General features: G+C 39.8%; 1 protein-coding gene and 1 long non-coding RNA gene across 10 annotated transcripts in view, besides 1 other annotated feature; one reads left to right on the plus strand and one right to left on the minus strand.

Moving 5' to 3' along the window:
• Positions 1-23,569, plus strand: part of LRRC3B (leucine rich repeat containing 3B) — an 88,005-nt gene that overhangs the window by 50,348 nt on the left and 14,088 nt on the right. For 2 of the 9 annotated variants that reach the window (NM_001317811.2, NM_001395645.1), the window contains exon 1: positions 21,386-21,650. The exons of 6 other annotated variants lie outside the window; for them this stretch is intronic. The gene's annotated coding sequence lies outside the window, so the exon portion shown is untranslated. One more of the 9 variants, XM_011533332.4, reaches the window with a different exon arrangement.
• Positions 54-909, minus strand: LOC124909488 (uncharacterized). The gene is made up of 2 exons (XR_007096251.1): positions 733-909; positions 54-455 (listed from the first exon to the last, which is right to left on the minus strand). It is a non-coding gene; the product is annotated as an uncharacterized LOC124909488 (long non-coding RNA).
• Positions 13,078-13,286: a silencer, noted in NCBI's record as "fragment chr3:26727688-26727896 (GRCh37/hg19 assembly coordinates)". NCBI's record gives its function as "represses an EF-1alpha promoter that drives an FKBP-Casp9 reporter gene in an ReSE screen in K562 erythroleukemia cells {active_cell/tissue: K562}" and the evidence as "EXISTENCE:reporter gene assay evidence [ECO:0000049][PMID:32094911]".

Raw genomic sequence — 23,569 nt, forward strand, 5'->3', positions numbered from 1 at the left:
GCAGTGGCAAGCAATTGTTTTCTGCATAAATATAAAATCAAGAAAAATCAAAGTGGTCATAGGTTGCTTTTATTTTTTTTCTAGAAGTCATTCTTTAAAAAAAATCAGAACATGCAGTATTGAAAACTGAATTCATACAGTCTTTTATTTCTCTTATCTTAAGGTTTTCATTTCAAACAACAATACTGATTATAATGCTGTGCCTTTAGATACACTTTGTGTGAGATGAAAACCCAACAATGCTGAAGAGGGTATTGGGAGATAGGTAGATGGGGAGAAAAAAATAGCACCAAGGTTGAGCTACAGAACAATGAAAATGTATTCATTTCATGTTAAGTTTTGTTCAACTGCTTGGGGAGGTTTTGAGAAGCAGTCTTAGAAAATTATGCAGTGCAATAAGGTATGGTGGACACAAATACTTTCTGGTGCTTGCCTGTTTTATACGTCTTCTTTGCCTATAAAAGAGAAGAGAATATTCCAGTGGTTACAGTAGCCTGACATAGCATGAAGTGGAAGCAGTGCCCTCCATCTTGCTTCTTGGCTTAGGTCTCTAAGCTGCTCTGCCTTCTTACTGTGTCATATGCCCTGTGAGATCCCCCTCATATTATCTCCATCCTTACCTCCACCTGCTGAAGAACAGCCTCCTCCACTGAAACAGGAAGTCTGCACAAAATCAGTCAGCTCTAGGAGAGTTTTCTTAATGTAGTGCATTAATTGGTGAATGACACTCACCCTGTCCACTCTTTTGAGGTTCTTCTTGAAATTGGTCCCTGGTTTGTGGACCACATTGGAAAGCCAGCCAGACTGCAGGAGGCCCAATTTCATCTCCTGACCTAGTGTAGATTGTAAATAACAAATAATAAATACATAATAAAGAAACACATAGGCTTGTCAATGATGAGCTTTTGAACTAAGTCAACTTTGTGATTTAATATAAATCATTTAAATCACTTGAATTTTTGAAACAAGCATACTCTGCATTTTATAGGTGAGGAGAGGTTTATGTTGAGTTAGTTTTTGGATTACTGATGCTGTACTATCAGAAATATGATGACTTTCATCACCTCCAAAAGTTAATCAATCAATGGAGAAGATCCTTCTGAAGTCTGTGGGAGGTTGCACCATCTCCAATTCAACAGGTTAATTATGAATATTTGTTAAATATTTTTTGTCGTGCTGTCATAGGACAGAAGCAAAACATTTACTTATGAATGTAAAAACATTAACATGAAACTAAATGGACTAAAAAAAAGTTTAAGCTTTTGACTAATTTAGCCAGATCAAAATAAAGTAAAATATTGGTATTATGCAAATGACTTAGTACTTGGCTTCTATTCTTGTGTTCTTATAAAAAGGAAAGAAGGTTGCTTTTTAAAATTTCTAAATAAATTATATATTTCAAAACAAGTTTTCTCAAAGAATAAAAACATTCTATCTATTCAATTCCTGATGTTAAAATCTAGGTTATTCATGGAAGCAGGGCCTATATTCTGTCTTATGCCTAGCACCAAACACAGGGTTTGATGGTAAATATATATAATGAATATTTTAGATGACTAAATCAACTTATAAGTACCCACTAGACATCACAACCGGGAAGCCCCACAAACATCTCAGATTGGGCATTTCTAAAAATGAACTCATCCTTGCTCTCTCCTAATTTGCTCCAACCTACAACCTTCTCTCTACTTCTTCTCCCATGTTTTCCTTCTCAGTGAGGTTGCCCGGCCTAATACCTGGGTGTCAGTGTAGACCAGGGCCTGTCTATGGTTTTTCCTGAAGATTTCCCAAATAGCATGGGCTTAAATGTAATTTAAAAAGGATTCCAAGTAGTTTTATGTTGGGCTATTTTGTTGATATTCCGTGACATGACTTGAAATAATTGGAAACACCCTGGGGTATCACAGGCAGAAAGAACAAGAAATCCTCCTCTCAACATGTTCTAGTCTTTCTTTGATCTTTGTTTTCCGTGTACTTTAGTAGTATGTCTTCCCGGTGTGGTTCTGCCCGCCTGATTCTATTGCATATAAGTAGATACCTATATAAGCAGGTAGATACAGGTAGGAGCTTTTGTCATTTTCGTAAAATAAAATGGATACATTCAGGTACAGCATATAAACAAAGCCAATGATTCTTAAAATCAAGTCTGCATGTCTCTTTGATACCCCAATCAGATGAATTCGCCACTGACAAGGTTGAGGTTGTGAGTCAGGCCTATGCCATGAGCTCTAGGTGCCACATGCCCCTTCCTGGAGTACTTGCTACCTTCAGCCAGACACACACTGTGCCAACTACCCACTGTCTTCCTGGTGCTCCAGAGAGTGAGAATGTAGGAAAAGCGGTTGGTGGCATGGAAACAGTTAATTCTCAACTTCTTTCAGTTTGCCCAGAATATTCCAAGCTGTGTGAAGAAGCCTCACTGAGTGTTTTTTCCTTTTTTGCCAAACAGCATGTGAAACTGGAAGTCTGACAAAGGTATTGATTAAAAAATAAGTTAATTGGAATAACCAACTGTTTTTCTTCTGGCATTGTTGAATATATATGCATATATTTGAATATATACTCAGGTTGGCAAACAGGTATCAATTAAATAATTACAGCGTAGTTAAAGGAAAATTGTTTTAAATTTGAAAATATACAGTGTTTTTAAAAATAGGTTGATATGAAACGCCTTAATTGTTGTTTCTTGGGAAAAACTAGCCCTTATTCTAGAATGTTTACCTTCTTATTCTTTATGATGAAACATACAATTTTTTTATTAAATAATGGTGGTAGTTGGTAAAATAAAATGTGGGAATCTGACATCATCCTTCATTCATTTCATTTTTTTTATAGTTATAAAGCCCCTTTCTTTTTTTTTTTAATGGTTTCCCAATCTTTATTTTCATGACATTAACGTTTTTGAAGAGTGTTGGCCAGTTACTTCAAAGAATAGCCTTCAATTTGGGCCTGTTTTTTCTTTTTTTTTAATTATTATTAATACTTAAAGTTTTAGGGTACATGTGCACAACGTGCAGGTTTGTTACATATGTATACATGTGCCATGTTGGTGTGCTGCACCCATTAACTTGTCATTTAGCATTAGGTATATCTCCTAATGCTATCCCTTCCCCCTCCCCCCACCCCACAACAGGCCCTGGTGTGTGATGTTCCCCTTCCTGTGTCCATGTGTTCTCATTGTTCAATTCCCACCTATGAGTGAGAACATGCAGTGTTTGGTTTTTTTGTCCTTGCGATAGTTTGCTGAGAATGATGGTTTCCAGCTTCATCCGTGTCCCTACAAAGGACATGAACTCATCATTTTTTATGGCTGCATAGTATTCCATGGTGTATATGTGCCACATTTTCTTAATCCAGTCTATCATTGTTGGACCATAATCACTGGCCATCAGAGAAATGCAAATCAAAAGCACAATGAGATACCATCTCACACCAGTTAGAATGACAATCATTAAAAAGTCAGGAAACAACAGGTGCTGGAGAGGATGTGGAGAAATAGGAACACTTTTACATGGTTGGTGGGACTGTAAACTAGTTCAACCATTGTGGAAGTCAGTGTGGCGATTCCTCAGGGATCTAGAACTAGAAATACCATTTGACCCAGCCATCCCATTACGGGTATATACCCAAAGGATTGTAAATCATGCTGCTATAAAGACACATGCACACGTATGTTTCTTGAGGCACTATTCACAATAGCAAAGACTTGGAACCAACCCAAATGTCATTTCATTTTTAAATTTGCACATCCATGAACACTGATCTGGCAGTGTGATTTATAAGGAGGAGCTCCAGGCTTCACTGTAGACATGCTCTGGGTGGAAGTGTAGAATGGAGGTGTTAGTACTTCCAAAATCACAATATAAAGCAGGGTTGGGCAAGGTGTCATGGTGGAATAGAAATGACACTAGTCTAGGGGTCAAGAGCACACATTCTTATTCTAGCTCCATCAGTCATGAGTCAAGAAGGTGAGTCATCAATCTCATTTGCAAAATGGAGACAAAAACCATACCATCCTTCTTCACAGGGATGTTGAATAATCAAAGAAAATCATGTGCATGAAGTACCTTGATAACTGCACAGGGCTATGCAAAAAATAAGGCACTTATCATACAAGGAAGCCATGTTTTTTTCTGGAGAGTGGGAATGTGAGGGGAGGGTTGATACTGAAAATAAACACCAGTATTCTGGTGTACTTCCCATAAACTGTACTTCCCATAATGTTTCATACCAGGGTGAACCTAAGGGAGGTTCAGCCAGTGACTGGCAGTGGTCACAACCCCAGGCAGGAGGCAGGTGTTCATTTGCCTGTGATCGACTTGCACTGCTGCCAGGGGGCAGGCTGCTCACCAGCATTCTAGCCCACATTGGAAGGGCTGGCAGGCTTGTATGTGAGGAAGGGATGGCCTATGTGAGTCAAAGCAGATTGGGCAGTGGGCCAGCTTGTTGGCGGACACTGGGAGCATCCCTGTGCTAATGGCATAGACCTTCGAAGAATATTTAGAGCATGTTAGGACAATAATGCCACAATCCCAAAGAAACACATGTATACATATAACACATTCTTATTTTCAACCAAAGAAACACATGTATACATATAACACATTCTTATTGTCAGTCAAAATTGATCACCAATATGATAAATAGCCATTTTTTTTCTGTTTTGCCTTTTGTTTGTTTGTTTGTTTGTTTGTTTTGTGAGACAGGGTCTCACTCTGTCATCCAGGCTGGAGTGCTGTGGTGCGATCATGGCTCACTGCAGCCTTGACCTCCTGGGCTCAAGTGATCCTCCCACCTCAGTTCCCGAGTAGCTGGGACTACAGGCATGTGCCAACATGCTTGGCTAATTTTTGTATTTTTCTTCTTTTTTATTTTTTTGTAGAGACGAGATCTCGCCATGTTGCCCAGGCTGGTCTCAAACTCCTGGGTTCAAGTGACCAACCTGCCTTGGCCTCCCAAAGTGCTCGGTTTACAGGTGTGAGCCACCACGTCCAACCAACACTGGTATTTTTAACAGTAGTTTTAGGTACATATGAAAGTCCAAGAGGCTTTCTTGTGAGATTTATAAGCATATGGGAGAAGTAGTGGAATTCACTGGGTGCGGTGGATCATGCCTGTAATCCCAGCACTTTGGGAAGCTGAGGTGGGTGGATCACATGAGACCAGGAGTTTGAGACCAGCCTGGTCAACATGACAAAACCCCATCTCTACTAAACATACAAAAATTAGCTGGGTGTGGTGGCACATGCCTGTAATCCCAGCTACTCGGGAGGCTGAGGTAGGAGAATAGCTTGAGCCTGGGAGGCGAAGGTTACAGTGATCCAAGATCATACCACTGCATTTCAGCCTGGGTAACAGATTGAGACCCTGTCTCAAAAAACGAAAAAAAAAAAAGTAGTAGGATTCCTGGTCAGTGCTGATGCCTGAAGAATCAGATTCTGCATCCTGAGTAGCATCTATACCCAAGGTTTGTACCTAAGAGCCAGGGGACCCTCAAAACCACATGAGAAGCATGATGCTGGTTCTTAAAGCTTACTCTGAAAGAAGGATTGGAAAAGCACCACAATAGGAGGATATTAAATCATAGATTCATAGAACCAGATATAAAAATGACTTTGGGGGTTATCCAATACCCAATTCATATTCTGTTGACGGTTAGCACAAAAGCCTTAGAGAATAAAGAGAGAATAAAGACTTTCTGGGAAGAAGAATTATGAGTTGTTTCATAAGTGCTTTCCATGGGAAAGATGTGTACCTTTTCTCTTTCTCATTTAAAAAAAAAGTGAAAACTGGAATTCCTCTAACCTCAGATCTTCCAGGAGTATTTGGGTGGGCTCTGTTGACAACAGGTCTGCTATCATACAACAAATACAAATGTATTTGATGAGAAAAGATATTATCAAATCCTATGCTCATGAATAAGACAGCATAGGATTGTTATGCATAGCCATAACCTAGACAGCTAGAACCATTCATTCATCCATTCATCAGTTATTCATTCAGTTATTCAAATATTTAAACAGAGTTGTACAAAATCCTCTAGGTTGGATGATCTGTCAACTGGGTGCTTCTGCAAGAAAGATGATAGCAGGTAGTCTTGGTGTGACCGCAACAGCCAGAGTGATCTTTTCAATATGTAAATCAGTTCATCTCACTTCTGTGATTAAATCCCAGTGGCTTCTCATAATTCTTAGAATAAAATCCAAACCTTCTGGCATAGTATTTGAGATCTCCATGGTCTCCCTGATGGCCTCACCAAGCCGGTCTCTACCACTGTGCCTCTGCCTGCTTAGCTGCAGTCACACTCAACTTTTCACTTTTCTTCAAAGAAGTTGAGGGTAGCTCAGGGTCTTGGTACATGGTGTTCCTTCTCCTGGAGCTCTGTACCTTTCACTGTCTTCAAAGATTGTTTCCTCACTTCAGTCAGTTCTCTGTTCAAGTGTTACCTCCCTGGGGAGGCTTCTACTAACCTTCCTATTTAAAATAGCACCATCCACTGCAACATGTTCCATGCTTTTATTCTGCTTTGTTGTTATTCCGCTTGGTAGTTATTACTTCTCCTGACATTACATCATTTATTTGGGTGTCACCTGTCCTCCCTGCCCTCCTCCACCAGAATGTGGAGCTTTATGAGGGCAGAAACCTTGTCTGTTGTGTTCTCTGCTGTAGGCTCAACATCAAGAACAGTCCCTGGCATGTAGGAGGCTCATAAGAAACTATCTGTTAAATGAGCAAATAAATGATGAGAAGGAGTGATGAAAGGATTTGGGTTAGGAGAAAAAAGGTGTGTCACATAACAGAGAACACGGAATCCCTGAGCTTCATCTTCTTCATTGGCCACTACCCCATCCTCTACAGAGCTCACTTGCTTTTCTTCTTCAGCCTGCAGAGGAGGCCTAAGCAAAGCGATTCAAACTTTCATGTGCAACAAATTTCCCAGATCTTGTGAAAATGCAGATTCTGACACAGTAGGTCTGAGACAGGGCTTAAAATTCAGTATTTCTAGGACTCTCCCAGGTGATGCAGATGCTGCTGGTCCACAGTCCAGGGAAGGGCAAATATTACAAAGCCCGCCCGACAGGCACAGGTGCTTCCCAGCCTTTCCAATACCACCTCTCCACCCCCACTTCCCAGTAAAAACACCCATTGAGAGGGGAATAATTAAATGTATAAATTCTCTTCTTGAAGTTTCTATGTTTAGGAATCTTGTTAAGTTGTGCTTTTGGAATATTTGTCTCATTAATCTATTTAGGAAATGGCTTGTATCTCTGTTTTAGAAATAAAGTAAAAGAACGTTCTTACAGGATTTCTCCTATTTGAGGTCTAATGCCACAAGCAAAGAAAGACTGTAAATTTCCCCAAGGTGTCTGGGAAATAGAATTTTATATTGCATCCATTTGTGGGTAGGGTAGCCCAGAAGTGTCACACGTATTACACCTCAGTAGTTCCCCAACGCCTCTCCGTCATTCCATGTCACAGCGTGCAATTCCTACTCTACATCCCAGTATTGTCCAAACAAACAATTGACTTCCCATATCTTCACACAGAATATCATAAGCCTGTGCATAAAATATGCCAAGATTATTTGGCATTGCATTTGGTAAAGGAAACTCTATAGCTGATTTTTCCCTCCTTGTCTCCAACAACTTTGTTTCATTGTGACCAAAAGATACAAAGTATAGTCTAGCCCAGACAGGGGATTTATTTTGGCATATCCTAAAAGACAGATTTCCAAATATTTCAGAAAAGCATCCTAATCTAGAAAGAAGGTGTTATCATTCCTATATCATTATTAATCATAGAATTTAGTTTTGTAAGCCAAGGACCAAAGGTAACATTGGACAGGGAAGAGAAACATCTGTTATTTTGTTCTCTCAAATATTTATTTTTGTCACTTATATACTACAAAAGACAACTGAATTATTGTGGTCTGGAGTAGGCTTTTTAAAAAAGTAGATTTTGAGGGAGGAAGAAGAAAGGAAGGATAGTTTGGAAATAATATATAGTTTCTGTTCTTATTGACATTGCTTGTACTTTTTATTGTTCTTTTGATGTTTATGGAAGTGCTTTTAGACATAATTAACAATGCGAATCCTTTGGGATCACACTGAATTGTATTAATGAACATAATTATAGGTGTTGATTTCGTGGGGAGAAAAATGTGTCCTATTTAATATGTAGTTTTAACAGGGAAATTGATTTGAAAACTAAGGCTAAATTAAATATACTTATGAGAACATATTAGTAGCACATGCAACCTCTCTTCCTCACAGTCTACTAGGAAAGAACAGACATAAACCTCATTGTCTCTGCTCAGCAAGAGAGAATATTCCATAATGTCTATGAGCTCAGGCTCTAGAATTGGCAGATCTGGATTGAAATCAGGCTTAGCAATTATTAATAATTCAAGCAAGCTTCTCTGAGACTTGATTTTTCTTATCTGTAAAAGGGGATGATAGTGATTCATATCTTTCAGGGTAGCTCTGGAGGTGAAATAGGATAACATGAAGTGTATAAAGCCTATAGTCCCAAATAAGGGCCGAATAAATGTCAGCCACTACAATTATAATAATTATTCTTATCACTATATTATCATTAATGTCAATCACTGTCAGGCACTAGAGTAGCAACCAGATGGTTGATAGATCTGGTAAAAACAAAAGTATTTCTAAAATAAGCCAAAGCCTCTTGAATTGAATATAGTAGTCATCACTTACCCTTAGGGAATACATTCCAAAACCCCCAGCAGATGCCTGAAGCCATGAATAGTACTAAACCCTACATATGCTGTGTTTCTTCCATACATACAAGTTTTTGTGTATACATTTCTTGTCATATTATATCCTACGATAAAGTTTAATTTATAAATTAGACACAATAAGATATTAACAATAAATAATAATAAAATATAATGATTATAAAAATATTCTTAATAAAATTTATATGAATGTGGTCTCTCCCTCTCTCTCTCAGAATAACTCATGATACTGTATCCACCTATCTGGGGACTATGGTTGACCAGGGGTAACCGAAACCATGGAGAGCAAAACCGCGAATAAGAGGGTACTGTGGTTAACTCCCAATCCCTTCTCCACAAGACTTGCCAATAGCTTTGTAGCTGCCCTTTCCTCTTGTCCAACTGTTTTTCAAGCTCCTTTTGTTTTTTTTACACACTACCTAGGCTTGAGAACCGCTACACACATAGCTTGCCTCTCATTACTGCCACCTTTTTCCTGGCAAACTCTGAAGTTCACTGCCCCTTTCTCCTTTGCTTCTCTTGCCACCTCTCCAACCTCAAACTTTCATGCGTATATACATTGTCACTTGCAGGAAAGAACTGCTTTGGTTGCTGTCTCAAGTCACCTTATTTACTGAATAACTGTAGTTATTCATAACTACATTTCCTTTTGCCTTTGTTCCTGGTGGGAAGATCTATTTATTTTCCCCCAGGAGGTCCTGTCATTGAGATGGGAAAGTATGTTTCCTGGCCAAGTGCCACCAGAAAGACAATCCCCAGCCTGGAGAAAAACTAAATGCTCCTTTTGGTGGGGCTGTCATTCACTTTTAAGTACCACTGGGCCTCTGCACAGCTCCCCTCTCAGGGTTCTCACATGAAAGTGGCATTGCCTCAGTGGATAGTCTTCCCCTTCCCATTGCATACTGCATGTGGCATTCAGCTGCAGCACATTAAAAGTGTCAAAAAATTGCTGTGTTTTCCTCTTCTACATCAATTAGCTCTCTATTTCCTGTTTCACTTTTCCATTTTGTTTACCCCAAACAATGTAAAATCTGAGATTTTCTAATTTATACCCTGTGTTTCTCTCACAGGCATTCTGCAGCATGTAAGAATGACACACAAAAACAATCCTATCTATAGTTTTTATGCCAGTTTTTAAGTCCCGGAAGCTCAATTCTGAGATCTTTTTTATTCCAGTCACACTTACTTGGTTACAAGATGTTCTGGGACTTCTAGGGCACCATTTGGGAATGGGAGGAGTTTAGGAAAGGCCAAGACCAAGGAAAGAGAAACTAAGAGGCTATGGTGCATGTGCATCCCTTGTCCCATCAAGGAAGAGGGCAGCAGTTTAAAATCACACTACAGGCCAGAGGCATCCTTTGTCCCATCAAGGAAGGAGACAGCAGTTTAAACTACATTATAGGACCACTTTACTACACGATGGCATTTCAGTACCACAACCATCTGATCTGTTGGGTAAATTGTAGCAGCAGCTGAAATATCCAAATATTGGCAAAGCCAGATTTCAGCAGTTGTAGCATCATATTTCTTTGGGGCCCACCAGTTTAGGCCAAACATAAGCTCTAGCAAGGTCTAGAGAAATAAACAAGGGGGTTGGAAAAGATATGCTATGAGTTGGATCCCCAGGAGGCAGAGGTTTATGGCAGGTCCTCACCAGGGGATGTTGAACTCAAATGAGGAATAAAAGCACAGCCGTATTCAAAGTCCTTGTCCATGAGGTTAGGAAGGCTGTGGCTGGGTGGAACCATACATGCATAAGGTTGCACCCTATTGAAACAATGAAACTAGAAATACTACTTTCTCAAAGCAGAACCACTCCACCACTCTGTTCAGCCCATTAGTTATCAATTCTTCTGGCCTAAGACAGCAGCCTTGCCAGCTTTCCATTTTCTGTCTACCTCCCCTAACCTCATTTATTTGTGTAGAGATAGGATGCACACTTTTCCTGAGATATCTGCAGCGCAATTTCTCAGGAATAAATCTCTGTTCTTACTTTATAGCACTTTGTCAGACAAATCTTGGCGCCAGCTCTTTGGGTTCCTTTTTGAGCATAAGTCATATTGATGTGTGAGAAAAGCTGATCCTCTGTCCACAGGACTTGTTTCTCTCAATATTTTCTCAGGGTCCTTCTGGCTGAATTGTCTGCTGTGGACTTGTCCCGTTTCTCCTGGTGAATCAGCCAATTTAGATGATTTGCTCAAGTTGTTATTCAGTCAGGATCACGGTTGGATGAACAATTCCTTGGAATCTTTATTCTCCACGTTTTTTAAAAACAAAGTTGGGAAAGTTCCAGCCCTCTCTGTGCTTTCACAAAGCTTTGTGCTTTCTGATAGTATCCAAGGAACCAGGGGTGAAAGTAGATTGTATGTAACTGTCAATCCCACTGGTTCCCACTGAAATTAAGTCAGCCTCAATCTATATGGCTTTTAAAGGACTATGCGATATTCAGAAATGGGCAAGTTGGTTGGAAAATTATGATACTATCCTTGCCTTGACCATGATATGTGCTGCATCTGTGCTTACTCTTTTCTATCTCCTTTCTGACAATTTCTGGTTCTTTACTTCAGCTCTCTTACTGACTGCCTTAGTCCATTTTGTGCATTATGACAGAACACCCGAGACTGGGCAACTTATAATGAACAGAAGCTTATTTTCTCACAGTTCTGGATACTGAGAAGTCCAAGATCTAGGTGCTGGCATCTTGCAAGGGCCCTCTTGCTGCACCACCACATGGCAGAAGGCAGAAGGGCAAAGAGACTAAAAGGGGGCCAAACTTGTCCTTTTTTAATGGCATTAATCCACCCAGGAGGGCAAAGCCCTCATAGCCTAATCACCTCTCAAAGGTATCACCTCTTAATACTGTGGATAGCAGTTAAATGTCAACACGTGTTTTGGAGGGGACAAACATTGAAACCATAGCACTGACTTTCAATAAACATATGTAATATGTTCAGAGTGGAACTCATTATTCATTCAGATCCCTGAGTTCACCAGTAGCAGATCTCTGTTACTCCATTCTCACATACAATGGAGTGCTTGCAGTCACTCAAACACAGGTTTCTTTATTTTATTTTATTTTATTTTATTTTATTTTAAATGGAGTTTTGCTCTTGTTGCCCAGGCTGGAGTGCAGTGGTGCGATCTCAGCTCACTGCAATCTCCACCTCCAGGCTTCAACCAATTCTCCTGCCTGAGCCTCCTGCGTAGCTGGGATTATGGGCGTGTGCCACCACACCCAGCTAATTTTGTATTTCTAGTAGAGATGGGGTTTCAACAAGTTGGTCAGGCTGGTCTCGAACTCCCGACCTCAGGTGATCCACCCACCTTGGCCTCTCAAAATGCTGGGATTGCAGGCATGAGGTACTGTGCCTGGCCCACATGGGGGTTATTGTTGTTGTTTTTTGGCGGGTTTCATGTTTGTTCATTTATTTTTGCCTTCTTGATTTTACTTGACTTTCTTGTTTTCTAAAATGATCACCTCCCTTCAGTCTCTGCTTGTCAAAATGCTACCTATCTTACTAGTATGTGACCAAGGACCAGTCATTACATTTCTCTGAATCTTAGTTTGTGGAAGGAGGATACCCAACTAAGATATGGTAGACTCTCTCCCTCTCTCTCTCTCTCTCTCTCTCTCTCTCTCTCTCTCTATATATATATATATATATATATATATATATATATTCACATATATTCTTCAAATATATACAAGCTTCACTCATATATATATATGTGTGTGTGTATATATATATATATATATCTATATACCTCATTTTTAAAAACTACTATTACTATTTTATGACTATACCTTAATTTACTTAGGCAGTGCAGTTGATGGAAATTTCATATACAATAATTCAGAAAGATCTTAGTTTCATGAATCTCTATTCACTGAGCAAGTTGCCTGCTTTCCTCCTTTCAGACTTGGGGTTTAAATACTGTGTCTAATGTCATTTAGTGGTTCAGTGGGGGCACATGCCCAGATATGCTCCATCAATAGCTTAGTCCAGTCTCTCAGTTATGACATCTTTTTCTGGTGGCAAACATTCTCTAAGATTCTATTGGCAGTAGCTACCTCAGATAGGAAATACCAAGTTCTTAGGCTTAGTTAAAAAAAGTTACTTGTTCATTAATAGACTCGGCCGTGGTATAGGATTCATATAGACTATACCCCTTGCTTTGCCTAGGTAAATGGTTATTTATTTTCCTTTCTTTTTTTTTTCGAGATGGAGTCTCACTCTGTCACCCAGGCGGGAGTGCAGTGGTGCAATTGTGGCTCACTGCAAGCTCCGCCTCCCGGGTTCACGCCATTCTCCTGCCTCAGCCTCCCAAGTAGCTGGGACTACAGGTGCCCGCCACCACGCCCGGCTAATTTTTTGTATTTTTAGTAAAGATGGGGTTTCTCCATGTTAGCCAGGATTGTCTCGATCTCCTGGCCTCGTGATCCGCCTGCCTTGGCCTCCCAAAGTGCTGGGATTACAGGCGTGAGCCACCGCGCCCGGCCGGTAAATGGTTATTTCTTAATTTTCCATGCTCCTTATGGTAACTTCAACACTGCTTCTTTATATATCTAATTTGAAGCCCAATCTTTTTATCCAATTTCCATTTGGATCATTCATAGCCTTTTTCTCTCCTGCATCCCCCACCAACCAACCTGCATTTCTTCTTTGATGTGTTACATAACTTCTTGGAGTATATACCAACCTCATTGAAAAAAGTAAATATTCAGCTCAGAAAAAAAGTGTTAAGAAAATAAAAAAAGCCAGAGTGTGCAAAGATTAGTGACTATTAACTGTTGCATGTTGAGATTCTAGGGAAGAAGACTCTGAGATGGGATTTGGCATGCAAGAGGTTTATTAAGGAGTACCCTTGGGATCAACATTTGTGAATGGGGTGGGAAGGAATGGCAAGAAGGAGAAGATAAGCTGTGATGCAGAACCAACCACAGCCTCAGCCAACCTCTCAGCCAGCTCTGGATCTAGACTGGTCCTTCAGAGTTGTCCCATATTAGGCTGAGGGAGCTAGACCTTCATCCTCCCCCACTGGTCAGTCATTGGATGTGGGCTGTTTCTGGAAGGCAAAGTGTCTCTCTGCCACAGAGACAATCCCCGAATGGGTCACTAATTGAAAGCTCTCTGCTGCCAACACTCCCAGAAGCTGGGGCAAACCCTTTGTTGCAGGGTCATCTAGGTGGTGCCTCACAATGTCCACCACTGAGAACAGGACAGGGCATTGGTGACTGTAGTCCAACCCTTTCTTATAAGTGCAGGGAGAAAAAGACAATTCCATTGGTTCCAGGGTTCTATTCTCTCCCTGCCATTCTACATGTGTTGGAAACAGTGGTTTTAAAGGTCCTAATGTATTTTTCTTCCTTTTCATTATCCTTTAGGATTTTGATACAGCCTTTGCTTGCTTCTGCTTTTGATGTCCTTGGCATAATCTTTTAAGGAAATGTCCTCTTTATTTAAAATTTTTGCTGCTATGACAATCAGTGTATCCTCTGCATTATAATTGCTCTAAATATGTTCTAAGCATTCCTTTCTCTCTAGTTCTGAGGGGATAATATGCTTCCAAATATGAGTTTGTTTAATAAAATTTGGGCTTCTCTGTGTGGCACGCTGCCGCTGAGCATATAATTGCTTTTTCTTTTCTTTGAAGAAGCTACTGTTAGAGGGAGCTACCCCCACTTCTTTTTTCATCCCAGAGATCGTTTCCATACAGCCCACTCAATATTGCCTGGCAGCATGGGGTACAAGAATAGCAAGGAGAATTGAAACCCACAGAAGAGCTGCAGCCTCCTCCCTTTGTGTACTTGTGAGCTGAGCTGCTAACAAGTGGTAGAATCGATTCATTTGAATTTCAACTTCCTTCATTTCCTCTGTCTTCCCTCTGGTGCTGGTGATAATGAGCAATGAAAATGACCCAGGACTGAGGAGACAGATGGAATGGGAAGAGTATCAAGGGTTGAGATAATCCATAGTTTGAATAAGAATTAGCCTTGGCTCCTCTGCCTCCTGCAGCTTTATCTCATCCCACAGCAGCCACTGGACAGAACCACCAAACAAGGAGATGCTTCACAAGTAGCCTCTGGGAAGACTTTTGTCAGATTCCTCCTTGCTTTGGTGACATAAAGACACCTCATTGAAGCTTCCATCTTGGTTACATCAGAAGGAGGCTCAGGTATCCCTGGTGCACATGGGAGGACATAACATGGAAGTTTTATAATAACAGATTAATAGAAAAGGGACGAACCTATAAAGATATATCCAGATGTGAACCCATGAATTACGTTGAGTAAAAAATAATTAAAATACATCCACAGCTCTTTCTAAATATCTAGGCATCCATATTTTTCTGGTCAGCAGAAAAGAATGTTCCCTTACAGAGAAGAGCAGGCACACATTTTAAATAAAGAACCGCAGAAAGAATAATATTTGCTACTGCTTTGTGCCAAGGTTGAAAGTTCGACTTGGTCAGGGAATATTTGCCAGCACCAATAAAAAATAATGACTGTTCCCATCTGTATTAGCCTATTCCTAGATTTCTATAAAAAATACCTGAGACTGGGTCATTTATAACGAAAAGAAGTTTAATTTGCTCATGGTTCTTTAGGCTGTACAGGAAGCATGATGCTGGCATCTGCTCAGCTTCTGGGGAGGCCTCAGGAAACTTTCAATCATGGCACAAAGCAAAGGGGAATCAGGCATATCTTACATGGCCAGAGCAGGAAGAAGGAGAGGGAGATGCCACACACTTTTCAACAACCAGATCTCATGAGAACTCATCATCATGAGAACAGCACCAAGGGGATGGTGCTAAACCATTCACGAAAGATCCTCCCCCGTGTTCCAATCACCTCCCACCAGGCCCCACCTCCAACATTGAGGATTACAATTGAAAATGAGATTTGAGTGGGGACACAGATCCAGATCATATCACCATCTCACCCCCATAATCCCTGGCTAGAGTACAGTTTTTAACCACTTTGATTTGTGGCTGTAGAATGGCAAGCACAGCATTTCCACAAATAATTGTTGGTCACTTGTAAACAGATGTGCCTAGATTCCCAAACAGATAAGAATCTACTACCTGCAAAGGAGAAGAATCAGCTTTTAACGTCACCAAGGCCTCAGTTATCCCATAATAGGATGAGTGCCACTTTCCACAGGTGGAGAGACCTCAGTGTCTGCAGACCTGCGATGTTTCCTAGACTCCAGGGAGTTCCAGCAGCTGAGCATGAGGAGCCCTTATAGACTCTCAGACACTCCATCTCCCTAAGGGTTGAAAATGATGTCTTTTCTTCTAAGTTGGAGACAAAGTAGAGGAAAAGAGAGAAATGCTGGTACATTTAAAGTGAAAAATTTACTTAGTACACATTCAGTCTCTCCCTGACTCTCACTCTTTGTAAATATTTTACCCTCATGTTTTGATTAGGTGTTTCTCAAACTTGTAGGCCAGGCTAGCATCACAGGTTCAGTAACAGTGCATCTGGGACACCAGGACCAGTCCTGACAGGTTAAACAATGGTGACCTCCTCACAGAATCTGACCTCCTTCTGACAGTGGCCATCCCTGGGTGGCTTTCCCGGAGAACAGAGGTGTCATCCTCTTCATCTTTCCAGATTTTAGTTTTCATGAATTAAATACTGTTGTTTCCATTTCCCCAATGTGAGAAGCTTCCTCCTTTTGTTTTGAACCTGATTGTGCAAGGAGGAGCCGGTAATTAGTGGCTCACCCTCTCTCCTGCTCTTTCTCCATTTCCATATGGACTTCCATAAAGAGGTGGCAAAATCTGCATTGTTAAGGGTAGAGTGGCCCACCCCCAGGACTTTTAGGTTCTTGAGAGGCTCCCATCATCTTTTAGCCATCCAGATCTTCATTGAGCAAACATATTCTGAGCACAGACTATATTATTTGCTCCAAGGCAGCTCTGCGGATGCCCACAGCTGTAACAGTCAGATGGTCCGCAGGCCCCCCAACACATGGGTGTCTTGCTCTGCTCTGTCCAGTCCTCCCATCTGTGACTTTTGGTGTTGGTGAATTGGAAAGACGAAGAGGAGGAAATGCTCAGGGTGGATTGTGCCTCTGCTTAGACTGAATGTTACTAAATCAGGGAATTGAGGAGACCCCACCTGGTTCCCCACCACCTTCTTCCTCTTACATGCTGTGACTCTGCACAAAGCAAAAGCCATAGGCATGGTAAAAATGTAAAACATGGGTGTACCTGACCAAAAACAGGTTTGTTGAGCTGAATATGGGTAAAAATTGGTTTGATGTGGTAGCAATTTGGTCATGATTCTTGAAACTACCTCAGAGGCCATAAAATTTGTGACTTCATGTTAATATGATGATGTCTATTTTTAAAAGATTGTGCACGTATCTAAAGAAGGCTAGATGAAGATTTACATTATCTTGTTCTGGAAATGGCTGTCTCTCCTCTGCTTGACTTTCTTAGTTTTGCCTGCATGGATTCTACTGTCTTTACTTATCTTACCTGCCATTTGGTTCACCAAGAGAGAATAAATGCGAGGTTGGAGAATGCCAATCTGGTTTTATTTAAATGGGTGTGTTATGTCTGAGCAAGGAGACAGGGGAAGTCTTACTGCATCGTGCAGACAATTAAATGGGTTTGGAAAGTTTTATGTGGTTCATTGTTGACAAAAGCTAAGTCCCTAGGTAGCTGTTAATTTTTCCGGGTGCTTCCCAGAGGAAAATCAACTCAGAGCAACATTATTCTCTGTGGAACTTCGACTAACTGCACAGTATAGAAAAGATGGGTGGTAATCTCAGTTCTGATTTTCTTTTTTGTTCTTGGGGGTTTCCTTACTATGTAAGGAAGATTTCTCTTGGTTGGAAAAAATCTATATCTAACTGAGAAGATAAACTATTCATGTGATAACAGAGAGGCAAGAACATTTCTGGACCATATCCAAATAATTGGTTTAAAAGGGTTGCCTAGTTATGTATTGGCATAATTAGGTAAACAGGAGGCAGCCTATATGATTATCTTACTGTTAGAATTACATTGCCATTGATACTATTTAGGCAACATTTTGTATGACTTCATTGTTCTACAAATATTAGTTGATTGGCTTTTCCATTCTGTCATTTTCTTTAGGGAACAAGGACTTAAGCTTTTATATACTTACATATATATATATGTGTGTATATATGTATATATGTACATACATATATATATGTATATGTGTGTGTGTATATGTGTGTGTGTGTGTATATATATATATATATATATATATATATGAGACAGGATAAATCAAATGAGGAAAACTTTGACCTTACATGATCTCCCGTGTGATCATTCAGAAGATGAAATTTGAAAATTTACATTAGGATGCTTAAGAGAATGAAGAATCTAAATCTGAAATCAAGGACAAATTATATGAAGGTTAGGGATGATTTATACACTACTTGACTTCTACCAACAAATTGGAGGGGTAGTTATTCCATTTGATTTGATGGACAGTGGTTCTGGAAAAGAAAAATGATGAGATTCACAAGAGCAACTTTGTTTTGAAATGATTCTTGAAAATTTGGCTCTCTATTTCATGCTTCATGGGTGTAAGCTGTCTCAACTCCAAGCTGCTTACCCACCTCACTGACTCTGTAACCAGATTTTTGACTTCCTGATTAGGAAATAAAAACGGGAAGGAAGGATAAGTATTGTGTGAAAATAACTTCTCCATCCATTTCTAATTGAAATCAGCATCCAGGTGTCAGTCTTAGGTCATTAGTCTGGATAGTTCAGTGAGAATTTGCATGATGCCTCAGTTCTGGACAAGGATTGTTGGGGGACCAATGGTCAAAATGAAATGGGGGAGAGCACTCTCTTGATAGCCTACTCTTCAGTCGTGGATAATGGACAGTGGGCTCCATTTGATGGAAGCCTTTTGCAGACATAATATTGGGTGAGAACCTTATACTATCCACATGCTGGCAATATTCCTGAATTAACAGAATGTTATTTATGTCAGTTCTGTTTCATCAGAATTGCCAAGACATGTCATTTAAATTCTTCACTGAATCTCTAGAATTTTTGCTTCGTTTGTAGTTGTCTCTTTGATGTTTGTCTTCGTGTTTGCAAAAGAGCTTCTGAGAGCTGCAGAGAATCAACAGGCACTAGGATGGCTATCCACACATGTCCACTAAGATGACTATATGCCACACAGGCTCTATTTCCAAGAGTATGCTTAAAACAAAAATCACTCAACAAAGAGAAATAGCTAATATTTATTTTGTACTTATTCTGCCAGGTATCATTCTATTTTGCCTAAATAATATCACTTAGTCCTTTCTACCAATAGAAGAAATAAGTACTGCGGTTACACTCGTTTTACAGGTGGAGAAACTGAGTAAGGCAAGGTTAATATGGAAACTTGGGTTTAGACTCAGATAGTCTGACTTCTGAGTCCCTGGTCTTAACCCCTGGACTATACTAATACAGCACTAATTCCACACCAGGAACTGTGCTAGACACCAGGGATATGTGAGCAAACAATATTTAAATTTATTATTCAGATTACACCTTAGACGTGCATGGATATCTTTCATCTGTGTATCAGTTTTTCTCAGCTGCTTGAAAGTTACCATAACAACTTAGAACATTATTGACTGTCATGGTCAGCAAATAGAATTAAATAATTTGGTATCTAATGACAATGGAACTGCATTGTCCTTCAGCATTGAGCAATTACAAAATTTTAAAATGAGGTTTCTATTATACTTTTATTAAAAAGCATACTGTTCTGTTAGTTGTTAGTGTATATGTGTGAAACAAATATTAATCAGGGTTTGTGATAAAAACATAAATATAAATATATTAACTTATTTAATTGGTAAAATAGCCATGTGTATCAGTTAGCTTTCGCTACATAACAAGTATTTACAAATTCAGTGGCATTTATTATTGCTCACAAATCCGTGAGTAGCTTGGTGGTTCTTCTAGTCTTGGCTCCTTAGCCTATGGTCAGCTGCAGATCAAGTAGTTGGCTCTAATGATCAGGCTGGTTTTCCCATATGTTTGGAGTGTGGCTGGCTCTAGGCTGGGATACCTCAGCTAGAACAACAGGCTTCTCCTTTATATGGTTTCTTAACATCCAGCAGGCTAGCCAGGGCTTGTTCACATGATGGCTGGGCAGGGTTCTAAGATCAAGAGCAGGCCGGGCGCGGTGGCTCACGCCTGTAATCCCAGCACTTTGGGAGGCCGAGACGGGCGGATCACGAGGTCAGGAGATCGAGACCATCCTGGCTAACACGGTGAAACCCCGTCTCTACTAAAAATACAAAAATTAGCCGGGCATGGTGGCGCGTGCCTGTAGTCCCAGCTACACAGGAGGCTGAGGCAGGAGAATGGCGTGAACCCGGGAGGCGGAGCTTGCAGTGAGTCGAGATCGCGCCACTGCACTCCAGCCTGGGCGACAGAGCGAAACTCCGTCTCAAAAAAAAAAAAAAAAAAAAAAAAGATCAAGAGCAGGAACATGCAAGACCTTTTGGAGAAGCCTAGGATCAGAACTGGCATAGTGTCACATCTGCCTCATGAATGTCTCATCTGCCTCAACAGTCCCAATCTAGACTAAAGAATGGGAAAATAGGCTCAACCTGTTAATTTAAGGAGCTTTAAAGTTGCATTGCAAAAGACCATGGATAATACAAGATGAGGAATCATGGAAGTCAGTTTTGGAAGCAATCTATCAAACCATGCGAAATAGATATTATCATGCCCATTTTATAGATGAAAACGTTGAGGTCCAGTGTTAAGCAACATGCCCTAAAAATCACAAAACTAATAAGTTCAAATTACTAGCAGTAACTAGTAACTACTAAGAGGCTGAATGACAAAGTTAGACAAACTTAGGTATGCCTAATTCCAAAGTCCTTTAAAAAATTACTGCTTTATAAGGTTTTCAAAGCCTTTAAGGGTAATAGTATTAAATAATCTTTTCAAAAAGAAAAGTGGTATCTGAAGATGAGGAAATAGCAGAGTATAAAATTGAAACACAATAGTCCATTCATCTTCATTTACTTATAAGTATGTCTAGTTTAAGTCCAGGGACATTTCTTTAATAAAACAAAAAATAACCCTTAGTGATAACTATTGATTATTAATTTTTTCTTCTCTGCCTGCAATAGACATTAGTTGGTGGTGGGTGTTTCTCTATGGTAATATTATGCAACTTGACAGTGATCAAGTGCAACTAGAATCCTCATTTGCAAAACCTGTCACCTCATACTCTTTGAGAATATTTAGGTAAAGTGTGAATGTATTGGTAGTAGTAATTGTAGTAGTAGAGGTAGTATTAAATGTTGTGCATTTCAATCTGAATGTATTAATTTATCAATAGCAATGTTTTATTCTATGGGCGATTTCACTATAAAAATAAGAAGACCTGGGGACGCCTTCAGCAGGGAGCCAAATATATTTGGGACAATCTGGGTTAATAAATACTTTACTGCAACTGTCAGAACCTTTAACAGGCTGATATCCATTGTGAGTCTCAGAAAGAGTGTTTTTCAGACTTATGACTTCATAATATTCATTTGTAGAACGCTCAGACACCTAACTTTCCATAGAACCCCTGGAAAATGTAAATGTGATTCTGATCCCTTTGAAGGTGTATTCAGAGCTAATAATATTTGCCAAGCATCTACCATGAGACAGTCATTATCAGAACCACATCGGAAATCAATGAAATAAGCATTATTCTTAGTTCTAGTTGAGGAAACTGACATGCGGAACAATTAGTTGGCCTGTCCAAGACCTCCTAGCTGGTATCAGAAATGAAAGTTGAACTTGATTTTATCTAGCTTCAGGTTCTGGATGATTTCTGTACATTTTGTTGAGACCAAGAAAGTTTAAACGGTCCAGGGTGGCTCCACTGGTAAGAAGAGGCACTATGTCTCATATACTTTCCTATCTTCTATAGCACTTAACACGGAATAGGTTGTCTATCAATGCCTCCTGGCCAATCTCTTTGTTTGTTGCTTAGTTGTTATTCTGACTGTGCTCATGGTGAAAAATTATGACTATAGAAAATGATATAAGGTAAAAAGTAAAAATTCTCCTTAATATCATCAACCCCCAGAACCGTCCCCTAAAGGTAAAACTATTATCAATTTGTTCTTGTTTTTCCACAACTTTTAAAGCTTTTGCGTGTGTGTGTGTGTGTAGATGCTTCTGTTCTGCCTTACACAGATGGGATTACACATTCAAATTTTTCTCTCAGTGATATGTATTTGACAACTTTTTATCAGAATTTGCAGATTGCTTCATTCATTTTGATGTACCATATTTATTTAATCAATCTCTTTATGACAAATATTTAGATTAATTCTATTATTTTTTAAAAAATACTTCAGCTGGGCATGGTGGCTCACGCCTGTAATCCCAGCACTTTGGGGGGCCGAGGCGGGGGGACCACGAGGTCAGGAGATCGAGACCATCCTGGCTAACACGGTGAAACCCAGTCTCTACTAAAAATACAAAAAATTAGCCGGGCATTGTGGTGAGCGCCTGTAGTCCCAGCTACTTGGGAGGCCGAGGCAGGAGAATGGCGTGAAACCGGGAGGCGGAGCTTGCAGTGAGCTGAGATCGCGCCACTGCAGTCCAGCCTGGGCGACAGAGCCAGACAACATCTCAAACAAACAAACAAACAAAAAAACTTCTTGATTTTTCTTTTTTGCTGTAACAGACAGTTTGAAAAAAACAGGTTTATATACATGTGTTTGCACAGTTACGTTTTTAATAGAAAACACATAAAGGGCATTATTTTTCCCCAATGTCTCTTCTTAGGAAACATAGTGGACCATTTCTAAGAAATGTTATAGAATCTGTAGATAAACATGTGTGTTTAAATATATATTTTTGACCAAAAAGTAGGACCCTGACTTTCTGGTCTGCTCTGTTCTAACAAGGGAGCAAAAGGACTGAGACAATGGTTCTCATCAGATGCCTATATGTCCAAAATCCACAATGGCTAAAACCAGGAGAGGGCATTTCGGCCTCCTCAGGCTGTTACCTTCCCATGGAACAGCTCTGCACAGTTTAACTTTGATGCCAAGAACACAGATGTAACCAAACCTTTCTCATTTTAAAGGTATTCCCATTTTGTTATCAGCTGGCTCGTTCAATGATGTAGACCAGGAATGGAATAATTTTATTTCACATTATTTATGATAGCAAATCATGGGAGACAACCTAAATATCTAACAAAAGAATAATGTGTAAATAGATCTAACATATAACCCCATTCACTGAGGTACTATGCAGGCATTAAAATGATGAAAGTCATGACAATTTACAACCCTGAAAAAGAAACACAAAATTGTTACCTATGCTAACATGGCAATTGTAAAATGATGCGTGTGTACACATATAAGGCCTGGAAGAACAAAATATTTGATGTGTTACATGTATGAATTATGCATTTTTTTATTTTTTAAAGTTCAAATGTTTTTTAGCGCTATTTGTAAAATTTTAAATTAATAGCCTACAGGGGCTAATCTCTGTGGATGTCTAGGAAGACTATGATCTGTGCATGGAGGTTTGTTGTAGTCTCAGGGCTTGACATTTTCTTTTAAAATGGCATTCTGTAAATTTGATCAGACTCTCCCCTAACTCTTCAGAATGCTGTTTGTAAGTGAGGTTACTACATGTTCCATTTTGCGTAGGACTGTTCCTTCTTGAACCTGTTGTCCCAGCACAGTTGTCACTAGCTTTGCTTTTCACTGTTAGACTTGTCTTTGTTTGTACAATAAATTCTGTGGGCCCCTCACTGTGAGGGACATACTAACTATCCTG

The sequence above is a fragment of the Homo sapiens genome, chromosome 3 (genome assembly GCF_000001405.40).
Source record: "Homo sapiens chromosome 3, GRCh38.p14 Primary Assembly".
Lineage (NCBI taxonomy): Eukaryota > Metazoa > Chordata > Mammalia > Primates > Hominidae > Homo > Homo sapiens.